The sequence below is a fragment of the Homo sapiens genome, chromosome 2 (genome assembly GCF_000001405.40).
Source record: "Homo sapiens chromosome 2, GRCh38.p14 Primary Assembly".
Classification (NCBI taxonomy): Eukaryota; Metazoa; Chordata; class Mammalia; order Primates; family Hominidae; genus Homo; species Homo sapiens.
Genome location: NC_000002.12, coordinates 39,933,793 through 39,952,192, shown reverse-complemented (window position 1 = coordinate 39,952,192; position 18,400 = coordinate 39,933,793). Strand labels below are relative to the sequence as shown.

At 37.6% G+C, this 18,400-nt stretch overlaps 1 long non-coding RNA gene across 1 annotated transcript in view, besides 1 other annotated feature; it reads right to left on the bottom strand.

The window, feature by feature from the left end:
* SLC8A1-AS1 (SLC8A1 antisense RNA 1) overlaps nt 1–18,400 on the bottom strand; it is a 337,576-nt gene that overhangs the window by 303,017 nt on the left and 16,159 nt on the right. The gene's annotated exons all lie outside the window — the stretch shown is intronic.
* Nucleotides 13,051–14,250: an enhancer, noted in NCBI's record as "P300/CBP strongly-dependent group 1 enhancer chr2:40165083-40166282 (GRCh37/hg19 assembly coordinates)". NCBI's record gives its function as "activates an origin of replication core promoter dependent on BRD2, BRD4, P300/CBP, MED14 and CDK7 cofactors, with strong dependence on P300/CBP, by STARR-seq in HCT116 cells {active_cell/tissue: HCT116}" and the evidence as "EXISTENCE:reporter gene assay evidence [ECO:0000049][PMID:35650434]".

Below are 18,400 nucleotides of genomic sequence, written 5' to 3'. Positions count from 1 at the left end.
AGGTGGGCAGATCACAAGATCAGAAGATCGAGACCATCCTGGCTAACATGGTGAAACCCGGTCTCTACTCAAAATACAAAAAATTAGCCGGGCGTGGTGGCGGGTGCCTGTGGTCCCAGCTACTCGGGAGGCTGAGGCAGGAGAATGGTGTGGCGTGAACCTAGGAGGTGGAGCTTGCAGTGAGCTGAGACAGTGCGAGTGCACTCCAGCCTGGGAGACAGAGTGAGACTCAGTCTCAAAAAAAAAAAAAAAAAAAAAAAAAAAAGAACTAATTTATATTTCTTAATGTAAACATTTTTCATATGCTTAAAAGCTGATTTTACATCTTACTTTTTGAGTTGTCTGATTATGCCTCTTTCTCAATTTATGCTGGGGTTTTGGCCCTTGGTTCCTCAAGATTTCTTTATACGTAAGAACTATTAGGCCTTACTCTATATGTTGCCAATATTTTCTCCCAGATTTTCAGTTATGATTTTTGATGTGCAAAAACATTTAATGTTATATAGTCAAAATTATCGATCTTTTTTACTGCCTATAGATTTTCAAGCATAATTAAAAAGCCTTTTCCTACACCAAAATGAAAAAGAAATTTACTTTTTATTGTATCATACAGTTTCATTTTTATGTTAGATCTGTGATATATTTTGAGTTAATTTTGTGTATATATAAGCTATGAATTAATTTCACCTTTTTCTAAATGGCTCCTGGGTTGTCCCGTTGTCCCAGCTTTAATTTTTAAAAAGTCTATCTTTGTCTTTTATTATATATCAAATTTCCATATGAACTTTAGTTCTATTATTGAGTCTTCTATTTCACCGGTTGATTTATCAATTTATGCTCTAATTGACCACTGAAGGATTTACATCAAAGAAATCAGTAAATGATATAAATCAGATCCCCCGACCCCAACCCAAACTACTTGTTTACCAGTATGCCACTAAACTTACTCTGTGTGTGTGTGTGTGTGTGTGTGTGTGTGTGTAGTAATATATAATCAAATTATGTGGATGTTGCATGAGCTCTTGAGAAGATGTATTCTCTATTGACATGGTGTAGAGTTTGACATACAGTATATCTACAAGATCTCCTGTAGTGATTATGTTGTTTAGGTTTTCAATCTCCTTATTTCTTGCCTACTTCATCTTTGCTGTATTAAGAAAGCTGTATGAATATCTCTGATTAATGTGATTTCTTTTTTCCCCCTCCCTCCCTGGAGATGGAGTCTTGCTGTGTCACCCAGGCTGTAGTGCAGTGGCACAATCTCAAGTCACTGAAACCTCCCCATCCCGAGTTCAAGCAATTCTCCTGCCTCGGCCTCCCAAGTAGCTGGGACTGCAGGCACTCGCCACTACACGTGACTAATTTTTGTATTTTTAGTAGAGACAGGGTTTCACCATGTTGGCCAGGCTGGTCTCAAACTCCTGACCTCGTGATCCGCCCGCCTCGGCCTCCCAAAGCACTGGAATTACAGGCATGAGCCATCATGCCCAGCCAATGTTATTTCTTTTATGTCTCCTAGCATCTCCTGTAGTTTGGCTTTATAAAGATGATTACTATGTTATTTGACATATAACTGTTCATAAAGATGTGTCTACATTGTAAAGTATGGTTTTCCTGTGTAAAAAGTGCCTGTCTTTATCATGTTTAAGATTTTTGGCTTGAATTTATTTTATCTGGTATCAGGATTGCTACCCTGACTTCCTTATTTTTCCATTTGCCTGATATATACCTTTTTTCATCCGTTTTTAGCTTTTTGGATCACTTTTAGGTCTAGGTCTATCTGTTGTATATGATGTGCATGTATGTGTGTGTGTATATATAGAGCATATAGTTTTATATATATACACACATATACATACACATACATATATAGTTAGATCATTCTTTGTGAGCAAAATTGGAAGTCTTTTAGTAGATGGGTAAAACCCTGTTATGTTTGGGCTTAACTGTGGCAAAGTATTATATATTTTGTTATTTTCTGATACTTTTCTCCATATGTGTATTTTTTGTTCCTTAATTTTTTTTATATTTAGAAAAGCTTCTATTTTGGTCTGGTAGCTACTATTGTACTTACACTTATTGAACACCAGTAATCTCCTGGAGTTTTTGGTTTGCTCATTTCTATTTCTGCCTTTGGCTACCTACCTGCTTTATCAGTTTTTGCTGTCGTATTTTCCTTACCTGCAAGGTACACAACAATCCATAGGCTTATTTTCTTCTTTCTCTCTCTCACTTGCACTTTTCAGTTGCATTATTTCTACTTTATCACAACATGTAACATTTGTACTTTAGTCTTCCACCTTCGTCCCCACATTTTAAAAGTTTTACATCTACGTTTATTTACATATTGACAGTTTCACCAGATTTTTAGGAGTTTCAGAAAAATTATTTGACTGAAAATTTCCCAGTTCTCTCTACATTGGACAAATCCCATTCTCAAGAACTGACAAAATTGGCGAAATAATAAACATATCTGTTTATTTTTATAATAAATGGATTATTTATATATATTTTTATTATATATATTATATAATATATAATATATATTATTATTTATATAATAAATGGATATAAAATAAAAATATCAGTTTATTATATAAATCTTATTCTAAAATTGTATTGCTGTTATTTTTTCTTGAATCTAAATTAGTGGTGAAATACAAACTTTGTCTCTCCTTTCAACCCACCTCCGTCCAGAAAAAAAAAAAGCTTAAATCTATGGTAATACCCTTTAGCATTGAGTCACCCATTTGAACATATTGTTTTTAAAAGCAACAAAAACATACCACATGTCAAATTTTAAAAGTCTCTTCAAAGACCTTCCTACTGGAGTATTTAGATATAATCAGCATTTAATTCAATCTTTGCTAAAACCTATAACCTTAATAATGATATTCAGTGCTGGCATCATCCCCAGTCAATTGCAGTTCTACTTATTCATTTGATGTCTTAACATTTAGTTGAATTATCTAACAAAAACACCCTGAGCTAAAGAATGGAGTAATTATATAAACACTTGCAGCAGAACAATTATAAAGCAAGAGCTTTAGAATTCCAGGTTAACATTTAGCCTGGTTAGAGACCTAATCTGCATATGCACACCCTGAGGTTCAGGGACTGGTGGTTTTTTGTTTTGTTACGTTCTTCTTTGATTTTTGCATGTTTATTAGTGTTCTGTAATTAGATGCCACAGAATATTTTTCTTATTTAGCTGTCAACCTTCATATACAAATATACACTCATTTCAATTTGTAGATATGTCCAGGAGCCTTGGAAACACAGGTGGAGTGTAATTATAGGACACTTTGAGAGGTCAACAAGGAAGAAATATGTGGAGGAGTTTATCTGGAGTTAGATCTTTTGCATCTATCTAGGCACACAGCCTTAAATTTCTAACCAGGCCTTCAACCCCTTAGCTCCTCAGGAAAATCTCCAGCATTTACCTGTAAAGGAAACTGTCAGATAATTCTGGGAGACCTGTTTGCAGTTCTGGTACCATTTCTTTATCCCCAGTGGAAAACTTTACAACAGAACAACTTCTCTGACCTTCCTCTCCCAATATCCTTTTACATCCTTCCATTTTTCCTTACCATTCTCACATGGAAACTATAAATTCATGTTAAACCCACTTGCTTAGGTACTTGACAGGTTGACTCAGTTCTCAAGGAAGATGTGGTTTTGATTCATATGTGCCTAAATCAGTTGCTGTAAAATATCACATTTCTCAAGAATATGCTACTTGAGTCAAAGTGAAGGCACAGAATATTTAATGCAGTTTGATAAAACTAAAATTCTCTTTGGAAAAGAAAAACAAAAAAGTTTGACACTATGAATGCTGTTCTGCAATGTAAAGGACATACTAAGAATGCCAGAGACAAAACATGTTAGGATGTGAGATTCTGTGCAAAGGCAACAGAAACATCAAGATGTGTGTGACTCAAGCAGCTTCACCTTTAATCCCATTCACTCTGTGCCCCAGAGAAAGGAAGGAAAATGAAAACTTTAAAGGCAGAGATGCATTCCTTTGACTTTATGTCCCCTAAATTTCAAGGAATATGTGTGTGAACTTAGCTGTTTGATGAAGTGGTTAGTGCACAGACGGAACATAAATTACTCAATGATTCATTCTCATTCTCTCTTATTTTTTTTAAACACCATGCAATTTCCAAAGTTCAAATTATGTGACCAATTTTTCCATGACATGTGTTAAGAAATTTTTCAGTAATTAAACATTTCCTGGGAGGAAGGGTATGACAGTAATCTTCTAGTTTCCTTCTGATATTAATGTATATTTTCATAAAATCACTCAAATCCCTTTATGAATAATCATTCTCACAGTACTTTTAATTATACTATTTTTAGCCACCTTCTCCAGTCTAGATGAACAGAGGTCAACAAGTGTATCTGGAGTGAAAATGTTATCTGGATCAACAGGATAAAACAATACAGTAGAAAGGAATGAATTTAGGACCAAAAGAAAAAAAATAAGGCAGGCATATGACGCACAATGAGGCAGAGAGGTTTTTGCCATAAACAGGCAGGTTTAAAGGATGCTAAGTCCAAAACCCACTAGATATTAACTGGAAAAATCTGTCATGATATGGCTCTTATCTTCAACCTTACAGCCCTAGGTACTGGAAACTCAGAAATGAACAGATGCTTAGTGATAGGTACCTAATTAAGTTCACATGAAACTTGTATATAAACCAGAAGGCCAGATTATAAAATTTCCAAGTGGGGATGTGGTAGCCATGGAGATTCAAGAGAAGACTCACCACCAGGAGTGTGGTTAGACCTTTGAGATCTGCTGCAGCATTTGCGCTAAGGCTGTGCTTCTACCCAGCAGCCCCAGCTAATTACTGAGCACAGCACTCAGCAGGAATACTGTGACCTGGTCATTTCTGCCCAATGTGGACTCCTCTGTGGGCAACGCATTAGAGCTCCCCATTAGTTTGGCAAATATTTTCTCAAAGTTGCACCAGAATCTAAGACTCTTCCTACCCAATCTTCCTTTCTTCCCTTCTCATTTCACAAATGTGAGACCTGTATTGCAGACTGACAGCTCTGCCTGCCTTCTCCTGCTCTCTCCCTACTTGGTATTTTATGGACATTGCTCCCAAGAAATCTCTTACACTTCTAATTCTTTCTTGACATCTGCTCCCCAGAGGACTCAGGTAACCATATCTTTCCTATAACTAGAATGCTATATCTGTATCGCATTGTGTTTGTCTTCTTATTAAGGTATCAGAAGAGCTCAATCAGAAATCTGTTGTTGGGTCTACAAATAAGATGTGGTCAGTTCCTTGAACTCCAATCTTGTAGTTCTCTCAAGCTTACCATGCACTTTCCTCCCTTCTCTACTACCCTTACCTGATGTACTCCTATTTATATTTCAGGACCAGATTAAGTATCTCTTCTTCTAGGAAGCCTTCTCTGACCTGATCTCACCCATAAGCTTGAGTGGCCTCTATTTTGTTTTGAAAGTACTGTATATGTATCTTTTTTTGTACCAATTATGTTACCCAAAAATTACATGGCTACCTTCCATGCTCACTAGACTATCATCTTGTGAGCAGAGAGTATGTCTCACAGATCTTTGTGTCCCTACTACTAAGCTCAGTACCTGGCATTAATTAGTATTCAACAAATGCATGGCAGTCCAGAGCTTCTGGTTGTAAAATGATAGCAGAATAAGAGAACTTGAAAACCTTCCTACTACAAACACCTAGATATGCTAGATGTAACATAATAACACTCTAAGATGCATAGCTGAGCTGCCAAGAAAGATGGCAAATGCCCAAATGTCAGAAATGAAGGCAGCATTGAAAACCAAATACGTTTTGCTAATGCTATGGTATCCCTGGGAGAGTTAAGTGACAAATGGTGGTAGCTAAAGGATAGAATTCCAAGGTCCATGCAGAAATAGAGAAGGCCATGGTCCAGTGTAAAGAGGTGGGGTTAGGTTAAGATCCAGGCAGGGCTACAATTTTAGTGTAAGTTTTGACTAGAAAATAAATTCCCACCAACAGGGGAAACATCTCTCTGCTAGATTATGGATAAAAACAAACAAAATTATCTCTAAGAGTTTAAAGCCCAGGCCTGTACTTCCATTGGATTTGTAATTCAAATTTGCATTGCCCTAGAATCTCCAAATCAACAAACTCATAGAAATCAATCACACTCAAGAAGTCCCTACAATGGTTGTCAAGAATACAAGGAAAACCTGTTGTGAAAGGACCTGGTCTCAACCTGAGCTATGACTTCCCATCTGCAAATCTACACTGTGATTTAAAATTACAAAACACACAAAGAAACAATCTATTATGAGCTAGAGTTATAATATTCCCAAAACTTTGGCTACTAGTATGACAATCTGAAAGAATAAAAAATACATATACAAAATTATTAAATACACTTAACGAAGAATCTAAATCCTAAGGAAAGAATAAAACCATAAAAGTAACGAACAATAAAATTCAGGAGCAGAACTTCGGTTATTATGTAATCTGAAATATATAAAATATTATTAAATAAAAAGGAAAGTTGAAGACCTGAGAATGAGGCATTCTATAACAAGAGAAAGAATTAAATCACCAATTATCAAAAAAAATTTATATAGGCATTGAAATTTAAAAACAGTGGATAGATTAATAGCAAATTAAACATACTTTAAGAAAGACTTAATGAACTAGAAGATAGATCTGAGAAAGTTTAAAATTAAACAAATAAGTCATTGGAGATATAAAAAAGAAAAAGCATGGAAGAGAAGTGAATACTATATAGTTTGAATTTATGTCTAGGAGTTCCAGAAGGAGGGAATAGATGATGAGAGGCCGTTTCAAGGAAGTAACAGCTTACAATGGCCTAGTACAGAAAAAAAGACATGAATCGTAAAATTCAGAAATCACAGTGGATCCCAAGAAGAATACGTAACACTGAATCCACACCTCGACACAACATAGTAAAGTTGTAGAAAACAAATGCAAAAAGAAAATCTTCCAAGTTACCAGGAAAAAAAAGTTAGAATACCTTAAAATGAAACAATTAGACTAATAGCAGACTTTTGTTCAAGAATAGAAAGCAGAATAAAATATTTATGGAATGAATTAAAAAACAAGCAAGTTTAACTTAGGCCAAAGACGACAAGTAGGTTTTACTTTGTGTGCCATCTCCCATCACCTACTTATGTCTCACTGGGAGGATTTTAAAGTTCATTCAGCCTCAGAAAAAACAAACAAACAAACAAAAACCCTAATCGATTAGTGCTGTCTGCCACTGGCAGAAGAAGGGCCAGGAAAGTTCCAGAGTGTGTGTGTGTGTGTGTCTGTGTGTGTGGTATGTATGTGTCATCCATTCAAGATCTAGGCCATAGTGAGGCCCAATGAAATATTACTGTCTGCAGTAGAAAATACCCCTCTGCGACCATAAAGCCAGAATAAAGGCCCTCTAGTTTATTTGATGAGGTCATTCAGAGAATGAAACTAATTCATCTACAACATATCATTGAAAAAAGTTGTATTAAATACACAGAAGGCAATTCTGATAATACTGTTGAAAGGATCTTCATGAACAGCCTTTGAGCACCGGTACTTGACACCCAGACATGCCTCCCTCAACTTGGCAGGAGAACACTCAAAGGATTCCTCTGCAGTACAGAGATTGAAGATGCAACTCAAGGGAGCCAGGGTCAGACTGGTGCTACTTAATGCTACCTTTCTTGACAATAGCCTGGTATTCATGTGCATAGGTAGTACAGCGTAAGTATAATTTAAAAAAAAAACAAAAAAAGCAAACTCCAAATTAAGGAAATGGATTTTGCTACTATAGTACTATAAAGTACCTAAAGTCCTTTGGAACTTTGGACAGATTTTCCCCACAGAAATAGTGTAACCAAATCCCAGCACTTTGGGAGACCAAGGCGGGTGGATCACTTGAGGTCAGGAGTTCAAGACGAGCCTGGCCAACATGGTGAAACCGCATCTCTACTAGAAATACAGAAATTAGCCAGGCATGGTGGCGCATGCCTGTGGTCCCAGCTACTTCGGAGGCTGAGGCAGAAGCATCTCTTGAACCCAGGAGGCAGAGGTTGCAGTGAGCCGAGATTGTGCCACTGCATTCCAGCCTGGGCCAAACAGTGAGACTCTGTCTCAAAAGTAAAAGGAAAAAAAAAAAAAAAAAAGGAATAGTGTCACGAGTAATCACTCTAAAAGCTATATAAAAGACAAAAACCTGCATCATTCATAGTGAACCTGAAAATAGAAGACATGTCACTGGGTACCACCTCACCAATGTGTCTTGTCCCTATGCGAATGTCCATATATAGTTTCAATATAAAATGGAAGACATAGGACCACATGACCAAAGTCTGTTCCTCCAGCCATGGCTTTCCTACTATACCATGTGTCTCACAACTCTCCTATTCCTGGACGCTGAACCCACCCAACCCCTAAACCCAGTGAAATCTATCAGGATAAAGGGCTTCAATAATACCCGTGTGGGCTTGGGAGTATTTGCAAAGAAGGTTTCTTCTCCTTGAAAAGATATGGACATACTTGCAAGATAAAAAGTTTTTGTTTTTGTTTTTGTTTTTGTTTTTTAAACAAAAAGGCTAGGTGGCAAAGCCAGAATACTTTTGTAAATTTTCTGGTCTCAAGAAATTAGTCTTTTAAAGTCTATTAATTAAACTGTAATGCCAATTGTATCATTTGAGATTAAGTGTTTAAGTGAGACATTGTGTTAAGCACTTTGCAGGTATCATTTTATTTACATCTCCTGTTCCTTATAAGATAGGTATTGTTTTCTCCCATGTTATAGATGAGGAGACTAGGGCTCAGAAATGGTAAGTCATTGGTCCAAGGTTGAAGAGCTAGCAAGTGACAAGACAGGATTTTGACAAGACAAAGATGAAGTCTGACTCCAGCTACACCACTGTGCAATAAGGCTTCCTCTCCAATCCTATTAAGCTGTCAGGAGGAGTGATTACTCACAGGAATGGCAAATAGGTTTTAACTCATGCCAACTCTAATCTATCAGTGGTTGTTTTGATAAAGTGTCCAATGTTTCATCGGGACTCAGTGAAGAGAATGCTGTGATCATCTAGCAATGTCTGCCATTGGTGAGAAAATGGTAGAGTGACAATATTTGCTGCATGTTTGCCATTCCTGGAATAGTGAATTCTCAGAAGAGTTTCTATATTTAACTCTAGTTAGAATTATAAGAAAAATAACATTGACAATGCTGCCACTCCTGATTTATTTTTTAATGGAAAGACACCCATCTGTGATATAAAACTTAAAAATGGAATACAAGCTGCTAAATTGTTGTGAAGTCTGTATTAGTAAAATTTAACCTCAAATACCATCACTTTCAACATTTTATAATTTTTAAGTGATAAAGTGATAATACAGCAGTAAAGACAAAATAAAGTGGTATGCTTTAAAAAAAAATACAAAACCCACTCATAACTGACAACCAACTGCCAGGAGTTCCTGGGTCAAGCACCCAGATTAATAAATCCTAGTTTCCCATCAACCCAGCAAGACACACATGAAAATCACATCTGTCTAAAGATATCCGCCATCACCAGAGAAGTAACTACCATGGCCCAAGCCAGCCTCATCTCTCACCTAGCTGACAAATAGCCCTCTACCTGGTATCATTGCTTCCACTTTTATCTTCTATATTTTTTACCCAAGTGCTATAATTCTTTTAAAACGTAAGTCAAAGCCTATCATTCTTTCCCCTCTGCTCAAAACAATCCAAGGACATTCCACATTATTCAGAGCAAACGTCAAAGTCCACACAATGGGCTAGGAGGCTTTGTCTAAGCTGTCCTACTTTCTTCCCATCTTCATCTCATCCTTAACCCCACACCCCTTTGCTCTAACACCATCAGCCCTTTTGCTAGTCTAAACATGCTATGCATGTTCCCATCTCAAGGGTTTTGTATCTGTGGTCCCCTCTGCCTGGAATGATCTTCCATCAGACAACCCCACAGTGTAATGTCTCACACGTCCTTCTTGTCTTTGTTCCAATGTCATTTTCTCCATGAACCTTTCTACTTAAACTTAAAAATCCACATCTTATGCCACATCTCCCTTCTCTCCTTTCTCAAAAATATTTTTCTGCGTATCACTCATTGCTATCTTATGCATCACACATTCACAATTTATCTGACTCAGCCCTACTTTCCATCGCACTAGACTGTAAACTTCATGAGGGCAAGGACATTTCCCACTTTGTTATTTGATCTATCTCCACCGTCAAAAATTGTGACTGCCACACAATAGGCATTCTATGAATGAATGCATGAAGCATCCAACTCATTAATTCTCCTTCCTACGAGTCAGGGAAAAATAAAGTAAAATCAAATTTTCTCAATGCTTTTAAAAATGTGGATCCAGAACTCAGATTTTTCTAAATATACTTAAATGTAGCTTTATGTGGAGACCTTGGCCTATTTCTAGTCAGATAAATAGCAGTTTCTGAAAGCCTCAATCCCTAAGACATCACACTAAAGCAATCTTCAGTGATCACAAGAACATAGGCTGTCCTTACTACCTACATGCTATGGTTTGAATGTTGGTGCCCCACTCTCAGATTCATATGTTGAAATTTAATCCCCAATGCAAGAGTATTAAGAGCTGGGCCTTTGGGATGTGATTAGGTCATGAGGGCTCTGTCCTCGTAAATGAAATTTAATGCCCTTATGAAAGAGGTTGAAAGGTACACCCTAACCCCTTCCACGCCTCCCACCAAGTGAAGATTCAGCAACAAAGTGGCATCTTAGAATGAGAGTGAGCCTTTATCAGACACTGAATGTGCTGCCACCTTGTTCTTGGACTTTCCAGCTTCCAGAACTGTGAGTAAGAAGTTTATGTCATTTATAAACTACCCACTCTATGGTATTTTGTTATAGCAACCCAAATAGACTAAGAAATTGGAAATAAGAGTGGGGTGCTGCTGTAGCAAATACTTAAAAATGTGGAGGTGGTTTCGGAACTGGGTAATGAGTAGATGCTAGAAGAGTTTTGAAGTCCACTGCCAAGAATGTAGGACTAAGGACAATTCTTGAGGACTCACAAGAAGAGGAGAGCCGTAAAGAAATCCTCAATCTTCTTAGGGATTACTTAAGTGGCTGTGATAAGAATATTGTACAAATATGGATGGTAAAGGCCATTCTGATGAGGTCTCAGACAGAAATTGGGAACACGTTATTGGAAACTAGAAGAAAGGCAATCCTTGTAGAGTGGCAAAGAACTTGGTTGAATTGTATTCATGTACTAATGTTCTACCGAAGGCAGAACTTGCAAGTGATGAACTAGAATATTTGGTAGAAGACATTTCTAAGCTAAGTATTGAGGGTACGTCATGGCTTCTCTTGATTGCTTATAGCAAAAGGTGAGAAGGGAGAAACAAATCAGTTTATAATCGAAAGGGAAATAAAACTTAAAGATTTGGAAAATTCTCAGCTTGGCCATGTTGCCAACAATGTAAAAGTGCATTCAGGAAAGATCATCAAGGGTGTGGCCACGCAGCTGTGTGATAAGGATATTACTATGGATGTGCGGAAGTCTGGTACTCTTCATCAAGACATGGAAAAATGGCCCACAAAGCATTTTGGAGATCTTTAGAGGCTGCTCTACCCATCTCAGCCCCAGAATTCCAGGGCCTTGGGAATAATAATTTCAAGGTTCCACTCCCCAAATTCCAGTGCAGCACTTCTTGGCTGCCCAGGTTGTTGTGCCTCAAGTTGGCCCAGGTGCAGCTCAGGCCACCCCTTCTGGGGACAGTAAACCTTGGCAGCACCTATACAGTGCCATCTCCACCAGGGGCCAAAATGCATCAGCTATGGGGGCTTGGCCCTCTCCACCTAGATTTCAAAATGATACCCTGGAGAACACCTCAGGGCTCAAGCAGAGAGCTGCAACAGAGGCAGAGGCCCCATAGAAAGCTCCTACTGGAGCAATGCCTAGTGGAACCATGGAGGCAAAAACCAACCTCCCCCAACCCTGGTGGCTGTTTTCGGGTGAAGGGGTCCCACACTGAAAGAGCTGCTGGTATGAAACTCCAGCCTGGGAGAGCCACAGGTAAGAGACTCCAACCTGTAAGAGCTGCAACTTGGACTGTGCCCAGAAAAACCAGAAGGTAGAGCCTTGGGGGCCCAATTCCCATACCAGTGTGTCTGAAAGGCAGAACTTCAAGTCAAAGAAGATCATTCTGTAGCCATGAGATCTAATGTTTTGCCCCACTGAGTTTGGATTTGGTCAAGACTGAGTATTCCTTTCTTCTTTCCTATTTCTCCCTTTTGAAATAGGAATGTCTATTCTGTGCCTGTCCTACCATTATATTTTGCAAGCACATCACATGTTTAATTTTATAAGTTCACAGCTGGAGAGCTGTTTGTCTCAGGATAAATTGTAACTTGAGTTTTTTCCACGTCTCTTTATATGAGATTTAGATGAGACGCCAAATTTTAAATTTTTGAGCTGATGCTGGAACAAGTTAAGATTTAGGGGCTATTGTGATTAAATGAATGTATTTTGCATATGACAAAGACAAATTTGGGAGGCCTAGGAACAGAGTGCTATAGTCTGAGCACTTGTGCCATGCCCCTATACCTACCAAATTCTTATGTTGAAACTTAACCCCATATGCAGTAGTATTACGTGTAAAGGCCTTTGGGAGGTAATTAGATTATGGTATTAATGTACTTACAAAGGAGATTGAAGGGAATATTCCACCCTTTCCATCATGTAACAACCCACTACAAGGCACCATCTTAGAAGCAGATTCTAAGTAAGAAGTTCTAAGAAGCAGTTTCTAAGAACTACTTAGAAAGTTCTCTGAAAAGAATACCAATGCTGCATAAACAAACCCTTACCAAACAATCTGCTGGCACTTTGTTCTTGGATTTCCCAGCCATCAGAACTATTAACAATTAATTTACATCACTTATAAATTACCCAGCCTAAGGTACTTTATAATAGCAGCCTGAACTAAGATGCTACTCCACATGTATTCTTCAAACCTGCAGCACTGGCATCACCCAAGAGCTTACTAGAAGTACAGTCTTGATCATCATGCCAGAGCTATGAATTATAATGTACATTTTAACACCACCACCCCTCCAGATGATTCTTATGCACATGAAATTTTCAGAAGCACTATTCTGTGTGATGGGTTTTCAGCAAGGGGCTCCGAGCTTTTATCAGTGGAAACACAACCAGTGTTAGGAATTGAGGAAATCCAGTTTTTGCTTGTTCCTAGAAAACAGAGCTCCAAAAAATAATCGAGCCCAGGTGTCAGCCTACCATTTAAGTCCTACATCAGTGATGTAAAATCTCCTTTAAAAAAACAAAATCCTCAATATTCCATGCCTCCTTTAGTTAGCTTCCCACATCCAGCATACATCACAGCTTAAGCAGGAAAGCATTAAACCAGGAATGTGAGACCTGAGCTCACCAGTTTTGTGCGTGTCTTTAGATCATGTTTTCTTCTTTGAGGTTCAGCTGACTCATCTCTTAAGGAGGGTAGGAATAAAGGCCTTGCCTCCCTCTGATGTTTTGAGTTTCAGATAGGATCAGATTTGTGAAAGTTCTCTGAAAAGAATACCAATGCTGCATAAAATGAGGTATTATTTAAGCATTAGTATTTTACTTGCCATTTCCTAACACATGCTTGGTTCATGCTTAGTAAGACAGATCCAGGCCATATCACGATTCACATTTTAGGACCAACTGTTGTTTGTTCTTAGACAAGAAGCCATAGCAGCGAAGGTAGGATATCTTCCAATTAAATGATTTTGGTTCTAATTATCTTGCACAGCACCCACACAGCAGTAAGTTTTCCCTTACCACTAACAGAATTCTAAGAAATAACCATCCTTCCTTCCTGAATCGCTAAAACCATTAGAACTGTGAGTTCTCCCCAGGGGCCCTTACCCTCTTTCTGTGCTTCAGCCACCAGGTCCCTGGTGATTCTTGCTTCACTTTGAGAAGTATAACAGCCTTGTCCACACCAAGAAGGAAACTTTTTGCACCTACCTGGGCAGACAGCTGTTGTCCTTGGATCAACAGGCAAGCCACAGCATTTATCTTACATAGGGATGTATTTTCCCTAACCCTCTGGTCTGAGCCCTGTCCACCACCTGTTTCCCTGGTACAGGAACTCCTGCCTGTGTGCAAATCTGTATTCCTATTGATGCCCTTTTACTTGCTTCATGTATTTGGATGTTGAACCCAGGTCTCCTACTCAGATTCTTTGCCTGCTTCCTTTGATTTATGCTAACTCATTCAGATCTCACTGTTGCTGTCGGTATTCACAGGATTCACACACCTTCAGTTCCATAGCTCCCCAGGGATCCCCTGGCTGTGATATTTGCCAGCGTGCAGCAGCATCAACCACAGCAAAAGTGCCTTGGCCTGGCTTTTCCTGGGTCACTTGAACTTAAGGCCTCTGAAGCCTTAGTACTGAACATCCACATGCTCTTCATTCTCACGAAGCAGCATGCTCTATTTTTGCTGTATCTAGGTACCACTGTTATCTACAACTCCATGGTGGTGCTATGGGAAGCTTTCTCACAACTCCCAGGTTAGATTACTTGAGAAATAAAATTTTTTATCTCAGCTTTTTAGTTTCAAGGGGTATATGTGCAGGTTTGTTACCTGGGTATATTGTGTGATGCTAAGGTTTTGAGTATGGTTGCCCACACACGGTACCCAGTAGTTTTTCAACCCTTCCTCCACCAGTAGTCCCCAGTGTCTATTGTTGCTATCTTTATGTCCATGAATAACCATTGTTTACTCCCACTTATAGGTGAAAATAATGGGGTATTTGGTTTTCTGTTCCTATGTTTATTCACTTAGGATGTTCGTCTCTAGCTCCATTTAGTTCCAAAGGATAAGATTTAGTTGTTCTTTTATATGGCTGCATAATATTCCATGGTATATATGTACCACATTTTCTTTATCCAATCCAATGTTGATGGACACCTAGGGTTGATTCCATGTCTTTGCTATTGTGAATAGTGCTGCAATGAACTTACAGTGTGTGTGTTTTTGGTAGAATGATTTATTTTCTTTTGGATATATAACCAGTAGTGGGATTGCTGGGTCGAATGGTAACTGTTTTAAGTTCTTTGAGAAATCTCCAAACTGCTTTCCACAGTGGCTGAATTAATTTACATTCTCATCAACAGTGCATAAGTGTTTCCTTTTCTCCACAATCTCACCAGCTTCAGTTTGACTTTTTAATAATAGCCATTATGACTGGTGTGAGATGGTTTGACTGGCATTTCTAATGAGTAGTGATGTTGGGCTTTTTTATATTTGAGTAAAAACATGCAGGCACAACAGAATGCATGGTTCATGATGCCACACATAAAGTGCAGAAGCAAACAAATCTAACCTATGGTTTTAAAAGTCAGGGGAGTTGTTATTTTGGGGAGTAGGGTAATGGCTGAGAGGGCCAAGAAGACTTGTATGTCTTCTTTTGAGAATTGTTCATGTTTTTTGCTCATTTTATAATGGGGTTATTTGATTTTTTCATATCCAATTGCTTAAGATCCTGATAAATTCTGTATGTTAGACCTTTGTAACATGAATAATTTGCAAATATTTTCTCCCATTCTGTAGGTTGTCTTTATTCTGTTCATAATTTCTTTTGCTGTGTAGAAGCTCTTTAGTTAATTAGGTCCCACTTGTCAATTTTTTTGTTGCAACTGCTTTTGAGGACTTAGCCATAAATTCTGTCCCAAGGCCAATGTCCAGAATGTTGTTTCCTAGGTTTTCTTCTAGGATTTGTACTTTGAGGTCTTACATTTAAATCTTTAATCTATCTTAATTTTTATATATGGTGAAAGGTCAGGGTAAAGTTTGATTCTTCTGCATACAGCTAACCAGCTATCCCAGCACTATTTATTGAATAGGGAGTTATTTTCCTGTTGCTTATTTTTGTCAACATTGTCAAAGATCAGATGGCTGTAGGAATGTAGCTTTATTTCTGAGTTCTCTATTCTGTTCCATTTGTCTATGTGTCTGTTTTTTTTACCAGTACCATGCTGTTTTGGTTACTGTAGCCTTGTATAATTTGAAGTCAGGTAATGTGATGCCTCCAGCTTTGTTCTTTTTGCTTAAGGTTGCTTTGGCTATTCCGGCTTTTTGGTTCCATATGAATTTTAGAATATGTTTTTCTAATTTTGTGAAAAATGATGTTGGTAGCTTCATAGGAGTAGCACTGAATCTGTAGATTGCTTTGGGCAGTATGGCCATTTTAATGATACCAATTCTTCCAATCCATAAGCACGAAGTATTTTTCTGTTTGCATCATCCATTATTTTTTTTTTTTAGCAGTGTTTTGCAGTTCTCCTTGTAGTGATCTTTCACCTTGGTTAGATGTAGTCCTAGGATTTTTGTTTGTTTCTTCTTGGTGGCTATTGCAAATGAGATTGTGTTCTTGATTTGGCTCTCAGCTTGAATGTTAATTGGTATATAGAAATACTACTAATTTTTGTACATTGATTTTTGTATCCTCAAACTTCACTGAAGTCATTTATCAGTTGCAGGAGCCTTTTGGAAGAGTGTTTAGAAAAAAATTATTGAAGTATAATAAAGTATACACATCACAAATAGCTCAAAAACTATTGAGTGAACACACCTGTATAATTCCCATTTAGAAAGGAAGAGAGAACATGAGATCTTAGCACTCTATTCATGCCATCTCCTAGTTATTAAAATTTCTAAGATAAATACTTGCCCCTCACAGCCATTACTCTCCTCCCCAAAATAACCATTCCAGTGACTTTTAACACCATCATTACGTTTGCTTGCTTTTGTACTTTATATATGGAATAATGAAGCATGTACTCTCCTGTGCATGGAGGCTTTTACTTAACATGTTTGCAAGATTCATCCATGTTGTGTGTAGCTGTAGTCTATTCTCTTATTAGCATATAGTATTTCATTGTATGACTATGCTGCTCTTTACCTACTTGTGTTTCTTTCCAGTTTTGTTCTATTTATTTCCAGTTGTGTTCTATTACAAATAGTATTACTAAAAATACCCTTATGTCTTTTGGTGAACATAAGGTACTCATTTCCTGTTGGGTATATAACTAAGAGTAGACTAACTGGGTGAGAGGGTATGCACACCTTAACCTTTAGCAAGTGTAGCAGCTTTCCAAAGGCGGTGTACTAAGTTACACTTCCACCAACAGTGTATGACAGTTCCAGTTACCCTGTATCTTTGCAGACATCTGGTATTGTCTTTTTTCATTTTAGCCATTCTGGTTATTGTGATTTAATATAATTTCCATGATAACTAATGAGTTCAAGTACCTTTTAAAAAATGTATTAGTTATTTAGATATTCATTTTTATCAGTGCCTGATCAAGTCTTAGTTGCCCATTTTTCTATTCACATGTTTTTTTCTTTTGACTTGTGGGAGCTTTCTATGTGTTGTGAATACTAGTACCTGCAGGTAGTGCAAATTTTTTCTATGGTTGGCCTTATTAGTCGATTAATGGCATCTGTTGATAAAGAAATTTTTAACTTTATAACCGAGTCCATGAATCAAATTTTTTCTTTATGGCTAGGTTTGTGTTCTGCAAGAAGCATAGCAATTGACAGGCTGCTTCTGGTATAAAATTGCCCCTACTTTAGCATCTGTTGATATGAAAGTCACTCAGAATAGTCAGTACTTTTACCATCTGTATGACTTTAATTTATTAGATTTTCCCTGAACATTTTGACTGTTCTCAAAACCCAGCCTGGAAATTGCCTTGACCTTCCATTTATCCATATACTACTGATCTACTATTTATCTTTATGTCTTCCCTTAAATATATTATAAGACTTATTGGCATGAGCTTAAGAAATTCTGTCCTGAAAGATCCCCAATGCAACAAGGATCTCTTGGAGAAAAAAAACTCTTCATAATTACATAGCAATCAATTTGCTAGATGAAAACAAAGTAAGTATTCTGATTAATTGCATTGCCTTATAAAGGAAAAATGATTAGTCTTAGACTGTTAGGGTTGTTAAACCCCAGAGACTAATTAGAGCAATCTGAAGCCTCACAACAAAGAATGCACTATTATTATACTTTTACAGATAGAAGTCAAAGCACAACTGTAAGAAATAAGATATGTGAAAGTCCATAAAGCAGTGCCTGTCACATAATAAACAGTCAATAAATCTTAGCTATTGTTGTTATTACAAGTTCTTTATATTGCAGTTGTGCAAACTGAAATCCAGAGAAATAAAATACCTTGTCTCCACTCACATGGATTTCTGGTTGCAGAATTAAAACTAAACCCTCCATAGTCATATTCTCATCCAAGGGATCCTTTCTACTAAACTACAGTCTCTCAGAATTCCTCATCTATAACAATTCTAGAAGG